This window comes from Homo sapiens, chromosome 11 (genome assembly GCF_000001405.40).
Source record: "Homo sapiens chromosome 11, GRCh38.p14 Primary Assembly".
In the NCBI taxonomy this organism is placed as follows: domain Eukaryota; kingdom Metazoa; phylum Chordata; class Mammalia; order Primates; family Hominidae; genus Homo; species Homo sapiens.
This window is the reverse complement of record NC_000011.10, coordinates 98,487,256-98,496,854: the sequence shown is the minus strand read 5'-3', so window position 1 is coordinate 98,496,854 and position 9,599 is coordinate 98,487,256. Positions and strand designations below refer to the sequence as shown.

General features: G+C 37.5%; 1 long non-coding RNA gene across 1 annotated transcript in view, besides 1 other annotated feature; it reads left to right on the top strand.

The window, feature by feature from the left end:
* Positions 657–1,158: an enhancer, noted in NCBI's record as "NANOG hESC enhancer chr11:98366426-98366927 (GRCh37/hg19 assembly coordinates)". NCBI's record gives its function as "activates a minimal SCP1, AML or CMV promoter by ChIP-STARR-seq in primed H9 embryonic stem cells {active_cell/tissue: H9 hESC(primed)}" and the evidence as "EXISTENCE:reporter gene assay evidence [ECO:0000049][PMID:30033119]".
* LOC105369455 (uncharacterized) overlaps positions 1,154–9,599 on the top strand; it is a 42,339-nt gene continuing 33,893 nt past the window's right edge. The window contains exons 1-2 of the long non-coding RNA XR_947946.3: positions 1,154–2,032; positions 7,045–7,153. This is a non-coding gene — a long non-coding RNA (uncharacterized LOC105369455). The remainder of the gene's footprint in view (positions 2,033–7,044; positions 7,154–9,599) is intronic.

Sequence of the window (9,599 nt, the reverse complement as noted above, 5' to 3'; positions counted from 1 at the left end):
TAGTCAGCATAGGGTGACAACACAGGCAATTTTCTAACTTTCCTGCTGAAAAATAAGCATGCGAATTATTTAGTTTGATGCTTCCTTGTTAAAAAAGAAGTTGAATCAATAGTGGAATTCATAAATTGTAACAATTATTTACTGGACCTTTATGTTTCAGATATTTTGCTATATTTATGATCGAAATTGAGTTTGAAGTAGTATATAATATAGGAATGCTTTCTGATCATTTGCAATTCATAAAGAAATGACCTACAGACAAGATTAGCATACTTAAGGAATTAATTATTATTACATTTGCTTCTCTTCATTGAGTCCATCCTAAAAGCCAGCCACTGGTAATTCTTACACGTATTACCTCATTGAATCATCTTAACAATCCTGCAAGATAATTACCCTCATTTATAAATGTGAAACTAAGGCTCTGTGACTTTAATGAGGTCATTTCACTAAGACATTAAAGTGTTTCAATAAGGTGGAAGTAATGATTTTGTCAAAGCTGCTGAGAGTTCAAGTAAGAGTAAAACATATAAATGATTAAATTTGGAAAAATGGTATTCACTGATAAAGCTAAAAAGATGGTGTTGGTAGAGTCAATCATTGGTGAACTTTCTAAGAATGGCACATTTAGAGTCAGGATAGTAGTTATTCATGTACTTAAATAGAATGGCTTCAGTAGGGAATAAATACCTAATTGGAGATAATTAACAACAGAATAGGACACAGAGAATTAAAAGCAGTAACTATAAACAACTTTCCTGGCAATTGCCTATAAGATGGAATAGATAATCTATCAATTGTCTAAATAATAGTGCAAGGGAGTGAGGAAGGAAAACAGAGTCTGGAGGCAGGGAACATAAGGCCAATTCACACTTCAGCTGTAACAGGAAATATCCTCTCCATAGGGTATAGGCCATGTAAACGACTTTGTAACTTTACTTCTTCCTCTCCATTTACATAGGGCATACCTCAAATAACCAATGGAATCCTAGCAGGTATTTAAACTCTCAAAAATTCTGTAACAGGGACTTTGAACTCCTATGCTCGGGCCCACTCCCACACTGTGGAATGTAGTTTCATTTTTACTAAATCTCTTCATTCCTTCCTCGATTTGTTTGTGCATTTTGTCCAATTCTTTGTTCAAGACGCCAAGAACATAGACACTCTTCACTGTTAACATATTTTGGCGAGCTAGCCAGGAGGAAGAGATAAGCCCAAAGTCTGGGATTTATTCTTCTCCTTTCTCCTTTTCCTTTCTGCTCCAAACAGGCGAATCTCTTTCTCTCTCTTTTCCTTTCCAACCTGGGACCCTTGGTGGGCAGCACCTAAACATGGAAGCAACTGCAGGTTTCTGGCCATGGTCAGTGAAACTAAGGGGTTTCCACAGGCAAAGCCCAACCACCACTGCCCAATTTGCTTAAGGAATCTGGGTCTTTTTCATTTTTTTACTCTTCTTTTTTTTTTTTTTTTTCCGTCTTTCAATGGCTGTTTCCTAGTAGCTCCTTGGAAACTGAGGACAATTGGCTGAGGTCACTCCCCAGTGTTGCCTGAAGGCCTAGGAACAAATGGGAATAATTGCCCTACCCAGAAGGGGAAAGGACTTTTTAAAAATCTTTTCCACACCTGGTCCCTGATTCCTATGTGTGGTGCAGTTTGGAGCAAACTACCTGTTTCAGGTGACTCAAACTTTCTTTTCTTATGCTAAATTCTTCACTTCCCCTATTCAACTGGCTAAGGGCAAAGGAAACCCACCAAGCCTCCAGTTCCTGTCATTAAAGTTTATGGAATGGGATAAGTTATGGAATGGGATTTGATAAGCGTGGCCTTATCAAATTATAAGGATGCTAAAAGTCGAGTTTTACACCCAGGAAACAGCTCACAGTAGGCTCTGGAGGGAATGCATGCAAAGTGGCACCGGTGCCCACCTAAGGCCAAGAGACATCTGGAACTCTTAAGATTGAACCCCACAGGAGGACACTCGGAGGGGATCATCCGGAACTCAAACTTTCCAAAGAAGATGCTCTCTGCAGAGGTGAGGTACAGTAATGAGCCCTCCTTAGAATTTTCTCTCGCAGTTGCAATGCTGCTTGGCCCCAAAATTGTTTAGAATCTGAAGTTTACTGTCTAATGGGAAAGTGGGATGGCATTGCATGTATCCAGGCTTTTGTGCTGCTGTTCTAACCTTCTTTGGTATTCTTTGGCCCCAGTGCTCCTGGGAATCTGGGGAGGTTTAGCCTTTAAACATCTAACTGTCACAGAGACTGCTTTACCTGAAATTTTGGTTCACAGCCTTCCTTAAATTATCCATTGGGGCAAAGTAAAACTGGCAAGTTTGTATTGCTATCTCATGGCTAACGTTCCAAGCTATTGGATCTTTGTATATATGTGTGTATACACGTCTAGATGTGTTTACTTGTATGTACACTTATTGTTATATGTTGTGTCTACCACATTGGCTTCTAAATAAGAGAGCATTCATAAATTAAGTAAATAAGCAATTTTTGAGTTCATGTGACCTAAGTATAACTTTACTAAACAAGCTAGCTTTCACATTATTGGTGGAATAAAAATAGGCCTTCAGAATTGTCAGCATACATTTTTTTCTGAATTTTATGTTTGTCTTTGCTAGATATTTTAAAATGTCAGTGTTAATTTAAGCTGGGAGATGCATGGGGTGAGCCTGCCTCCCATTTTACTCACAGTCTCACTGAGATAAATCCATGTATGACGGCTTCCTTTAAAAAGACTAATCAGAAACTCAAAATAATGCAACCATTTGTCTCTCACGTATGATCTGAAAGCCCCCAATCCCCCTCCTCGCCTTTCCAGACCAAACTAATTTGTAATGTTTTACGTATGTGGATTGATGTCTCATGTCTCCCTTGTTAAAAGTAAAAATTAAGTACGGTGAATGGGATAAATGTTTTAGGTAAACGTTTTGGGTCAATTAAAATCTTAAAGTTATTTTTGATACTCATTTAATATCTGAGTCATTTCCAATTAAGAAAGGGTTGTGATAGGGGAAATATGTTTCTAAAATTGTGGGATTGTACTTATGTATAAATGCCCATATCTGACAGTTCAGGATTTCTTGCTTTTTAGGGTTTCACTAAAGTTTTAGGTTACTAAGGATAAAAATGTTAGTTAACATGTAATTCTGTATAAAAAATGCACCGAAAGTGTTATGTTACTAGTGGAAAAAAAGAATAATTTTGTCTAATTCAGAAGTTATCTAAAAGTTAGCTCAAATTACAGAATTGAAAAGATTATTTATGAAACTAGTAAGGAATCATTAAGTAGGGGAGAAAGATGTGGAAAGAGTTTAAATAATAAAATATTATTTAAATCCTGATAGAGAATGAGAGACATTTGACTAATAAATATTTTCATAGTTAAAGCTCTTAGTCTTAAAGTAAAATAAGAAGTATTGTAAAGAAAGGCATTGACAGTTCGGCAATTTTTTTTTTTTTGATACCATTAAGCATGGAGCTGAATTTAGTGTGGAGCCAAATTTCACATACATGCTTGCGTTGCTTCACACTATGTTTACTCTTTTGCATGGATAGTGCTAGAGTACTAATTGGTCATGTTCCCAAAGTGAATTTCTTGATTACACAGGATGTATGATGATATTAGTAAACTTAAGAATATTAAATTGTATATCAGGAATAAAATATTCAGTATGTGGGGTTTTGGAGGCCTTAGATAACACTGTACTCTCCAGGATAAATTGCATAGGAAAATTGAGGGCCGGTTTTCTGTTTATTTGTTTTTGCTTCTATTTTTAATTCATTTGCTGTTTATTAACCTCTGGCTTTGCTTGTGTATCCATATATATAAAACCATGATCCTTTTTAGTTTCTAGTGGAAGGCTTTTATTTCGTTCTGTGAATAGTTATTTTGTTTCATATGCATTTCTAGCAAGTCATCATCCATTCCATTTATCTGGAATGCCTAAGCTACCTTTGTCAGGCTGCAGGAATTAATGGAGCACACCAGCTTTTTATCCTTAAACTAACTTTTTGGATTTTAGGCTTCCTGATACTTTAAGTGTGTTTAGTATACTGTTACAAATAGAATTTAAGTCATATCTCTCTTTATGGCTAGCTTCTCCAAAATTTGTAAACTATCTATGTGTATTCTTAATTCATGGCAATGTGTTTGTTTGCATATTGTCAAGCAGGGTCTCCAGGGCCGCTCAGGGAGAGAGAACCCACAAACCTAGCATGCTGGCAAAAGGGTAAGAATTTCTTACCAGTCAGTCTCTGGCCTCTTTCTCTCTGTGCAAACTGGTTAACCTCCTCTGCAAAGTTTTAAATTAATGGTTTAATAATAATAAGAGATTACATCAAATATTTTGTCAGAAAAGCATAAAGTGTAATGCCTTTTAGTTGATGTGGCTTTAGCAATCTTTGGGAAATAAAGATGGTTTTCAAGATTATTGGTAAAATACAAATGTCTTCAAAATGTAAACATGTGGTCTAAATTATGTTCAAATATTAGGTTTGCTAAATGCTTTAAGGTCATAAACTGCTTTTTTGGCTTTTAAAATTTGTTTTACTTGTCTGCTTTCCAGCTAGGTAAGACTTGGGGACATGTGGAGTTGGCCACGCCCCTAGCTATGTTGGAAACAGTCAAGCCTTATCAGAACATTACTTACTAGGCCTTCCATTAAAATTCGCCATTATAACATGCAATTAAGACTACTAAAAACAGTTTTACATGCAAAGTGTGCAAGAACAGTAGAATGTGGTTTCTTTTTAAGGTTATAAAAGGTTTTTGCTTCTTTAAAATTTGAGTCATCATTTTGGCAAAATAAATAATTTATGGTAATCTAGAATTCTAAAACCAAACTTCAGTTTCAAAATTGTCTTTCATAAGGCCTGGCTTTCTGGATGAGGGCCCCTGAAAACATCCAGAAGAAAAGTAAACAGGATTATTTTATGTGTTTAGGTACATGGAGTTGCCAAAATGATGTTCAATCTTCTTTAGGTTATATTTTTTTGAATAATACTAATACATATTCCTAAATTTTATGGGATTTCTAAAATTCTAATGTCCAAGAATATGCTATCAATTATAATTATGGTTACTATGTTAAGTTATTGTAAACCACAAAAATAACCAAATTTCCTTGTCAGTGCTATGCACCTAATTTGGAAAAACAACTGGTATCCAAGACGATATAAGCCAAATGTTAATTAAGCATGGATTCACGGAGAAACGGATGGCCACTTTGTCCTTCCTGAGTCCTTAAAGCTTTTATTATTAAAAGTTCTGCATTCCATGACTCATTATGGAAAAGATATAATGATCCAAATTGAATACTTTGGTGTAGTGACTTACAACTTACAAAAATAGTTTATAACCAATGCTTGATCCCATATTCCTGGAAAAACAAAGCTTCAGGTACATTTGGTCACCTGGTGGGACATTTAAACATTTTGTAAAGGGATTTCATTCAATTGTTATTTTCAATGCATGTTTTCTGCTTGTCTAAAAGCTTTCCCATGGAAGAGGGCTGATGTTATAAAAGCAGATTATTATGCTATAGTGTATTTTCGCCAGGTAAAAAAGCTTCTTATGGCTTGGATCTTCCGAGAATATTGGAGAAAGACTATGCTTGCCATCCACACTATAACAAAACTTCAGGACCTTGGGCTTTCGGTTCGTGGTCTTGCAACTGAGAAGGGTCCTTCCACACTTTTGGAACTGTGCACCCATTGGTACCCTTGAGGTAAAGCTAACCAGGGAAATTTCTCCCAAAGAGAAGACAGCATCCTTAATGTGAACAGTTTTTCCCAAGTTCACAGATTAAGACTTCTACTGTCATGAAACTCTTATCTTTGAATGTTTTTTCTTGCTTGTGTCTCTGTGAACAATAGAAGTGGAAAAGGTGTCGGTTTTGTGCACTTATGGGGTGTACTTTTATTTGTGAAGGAGTTTGCAGCCTGCCTTATACATGGATAAACGTATACTTTGATAGATAAAGGATGAAGGCCGAGTGTAGGTAAGACACTTTAATGGTACATGTGTTGCCTCATAATCAGTCAAAAACAAAACACTGGTTCACTCCTCTTAACCCACGTCATGGGTTAAAGGGAACATTGCCAGGAGGCCTTCCTTCACCCTTCTTCTAAAAGGGCCTCATTTGTTAGGTCCTTTTCCCATGGTTTAAAATAAAAGAAGCAATGATTAGAAATGTACCCCTCATGATAGGTTCTATAGCAAATTCTACTGTAGAGGCTACAGTCACACAACAGACTTTAAATTCTCTTGTGAAAGCTATGCTAAATAACAGAATTAGCTAAACAGAAAAGTTACCTGTGCAGCTGCTGGCACTTGTAGCCTATGAGGAAATACATCAAGTAAAGATTATAGAAACTAGTGGTAGGTGATTGATGAAGAATTTGCTTAGTCAAGTGAGTAAACTCTTTAGTTCATTCTTCGATTTGTTTAATTTTAGGAGGTTTGGTTTATGGGACCTTGGGTAAGGAGCACACACCAAACGCTTGGTATCATCCTCCCAATAGTCATAGTAATAGTCTCCCTGGTGTGCTGTATTCTCTCAAAGGTTTTAAATGTTTGCATGCAGCCATCTCTAGAATGTCATATGGACTCTCTTCAACTGGAATAACAAGTGCTGAAAGAAATGTGCAACTATGAGGACACTGTAACCTATGAATGACATGCTGAGACCAGAAACCCAAAATGATGGTAACTGAGAGTGGGGCTAAGGCCATAAGTTTTAGTCACACTCTCGTCTAAGTGAAAACCTGACCAAAAAAGGGGATTTTTTTTTTAAACAAAATTATGAGAGGCCATTGTTTTGGACTGAGCTCATGCACTAGGCCCCAACAAACCAAACCAAACCAAAATGGAGTTGCTCATGCTAAGACTTTAAGGAAACACATGGATTCCAGAACAGACCAGGGTTTGTTTTTCTTCTGTAAATCTCTATAACAAACTTCTCTGGCATCATAGGTATCCACTCCCTGAAGTTCCCATGAAATCTTTTAACCAAATTCATTTCCTCTCACCTAGAGACCATCGAGCTTCAGATGATCACTCAACAAAGGCTCCAGCAAGTTCCAGGTGAAGACACCACCCCTGGCCATCAAGGAGCTACCCTGCCTCCACTAGACACAGCAGGGTAAGAGTTCCATGATCCCCAATAGGTAGGGACTAAAACCCCAAGCCAGTATGAAGCAGTTACAGAAAAAAGACCATCGGCCCCTCTGTCTCTCATAAAGATTTATGGGGATCACATCTCTCAGCGGGGAAATGAGGCAGGAAAATGAGGTCTGGAGGCAGGGAACATAAGGCTGATTCACACTTTGGCTATGACAGGAGATATCCTCTCCATAGGGCATAGGCCAAGTAAATGACTTTGTAACTTTACCTCATCCTCTCCATTTACATAGAGTGTACCTCAAGTAACCAACGGAATCCTCTAGGGGGTATTTAAACTCCCCAACATTCTATAACGGAGCCTTTGAGCCCCTATGCTCAGGCCCGTTCCCACACTGTGACTGTGGAGTGTACTTTCATTTCGAATAAATCCCTTAATTCCTTTCTTGCTTTTTTTTTTTTAGATGGAGTTTTGCTCTTGTTGCTCCAGCTGGAGTGCAATGGCGCCATCTTGGCTTACTGCAACTTCTGCCTCTCAGGTTCAAGTGATTCTCTTGCCTGAGCCTCCCAAGTAGCTGGGATTACAGGCATGCACCACCACGCCTGGATACTTTTTGTATTTTTAGTAGAGACATGTATTTTTGTATTTTAGTTTCACCATGTTGATCAGGCTGGATGGTCTCGAACTCCTGACCTCGGGTGATCCACCTGCCTCGGCCTCCCAAAGTGTTGGGATTACAGGTGTGAGCCACCATGCCTGGCCTTTCCTTGCTTTGTTTGTGCCTTTTGTACAATTCTTTCTTCAAGACGCCAAGAACCTGGACACCCTCTACTGTTAACAGGAGTGTTTCACAAAACTAAAGAATTATTTTGTGTTTACGTTAAATTTAATGTGTGTGGTAGAAACGAAAACTAGAGATTTAAAAGGAAAGGGTATAATGGCAAGAATGAAATCCTTGAGTAACCAGATGCAATGGGATATAAGGAACAATTTAAAGTGTGAACTTAGGAAGCAGAAAAGTTTTACCTTTGAAAAAAAGAGGAAAAATCAACTATATAGAGATCTATCAAAATGGAGATAGCTTTTTTATGAACAATCGGGTTGCTTTTGTTTTCTTAGAGAAGTAAGAAGTAAGTTAATTGACTAAGAGTTAAATACTGAGCAGGGGTAGGGGTTTTTTAAAAATATTACACCTTTATCAGAGTGAGAAAGTAAACCTACCAGGATAATAGTTATAGTTTAGAAAGCCTACTTAAAAGCTATGGCTTTAAAATTTCAGTCACCATCGTTGTGTGTTTTTTACAAAAGCATTCATCAAGGTTGGTGTAGGCCTTGTTGCTGTATTCTACAGTTTACACTGAAATTTTAGTTTAGGCTGGGTGAGGTGGCTCATGTCTGTAATCCCAGCACTTTGGGAGGCCGAGGTGGGTGGATCACAAGGTCAGGAGTTCGAGACCATCCGGGCGAACATGGTGAAACCCCATCTCTAGTAAAATTACAAAAATTAGCTGGGCGTGGTGGCAGGCACCTGTAATCCCAGCTACTCGGGAGGCTGAGGCAGGAGAATCACTTCAAACCGGAGGGCGGGGGGTGCAGTGAGCCGAGATTGTGCCACTGCACTCCAGCCTGGGTGAAAGAGTGAAAATCCATCTCAAAAAAAAAAATAGTTTAAATAGAGTTGTTTCTATAAGTAAAAAAGGCCACTGAAGTAAGAATACTTTCAATTAATTGAATGGCTATAGTAATAGACTACAAAATCAAGCAGTTTAAAGATAGAAGAGAGGACATAGGTAATGGTAGATAATGACTGAAAGTCGCCAGAAGTTTGAAAAAAAATTGACATGGGAGAAAGATTAAAAGATAGCTTGAAAGTTAAGTGGTGTTATTAACAGAGTGAGATACTTAAATTATGAATTTCAGAGGTGGTATACCTATATTTTGTTGTCATTAAATAGCAAATCACCAAATGAAGAGTAAGAGGCTGAGGTTAAGAGAAGGAAAAGGTCTTTAGAAATGAGGAAGTAAAAAGAACACAGACACCAGGTGTTTGCTATATCGTCTCCATCGATATTGAAGTCATAATGAATGACTTCAACCTAATTGGACATTTTAAGTGAGAAGAGAGGAATACAGTATGTAAGTGGGTAATGAAAAGGGGGAGGAGACACAGAGAGCAAGCAGCACATCTTTGGGTTATGTGGCACATAATGTGGAGGAGAAAAATAGAAGTATCACCTTCAGAAGCTGGCACCCAGTGTCTTCACTTGGCAGCCTGAATTCAGTTTTATTAAGAACAAAAAGAACTTTGAAGAATGAATATAGGAGATATTATAGCTAGTATATTATGACTTCCTGAAGGCATACTGTATCTTTTTTGGATATATGTATCTCCCAGATACATAAATGATAGACTCTGGTAAGACAATAAACAAAAATGTATAGTTATATGAGATTAGATCATGATGAA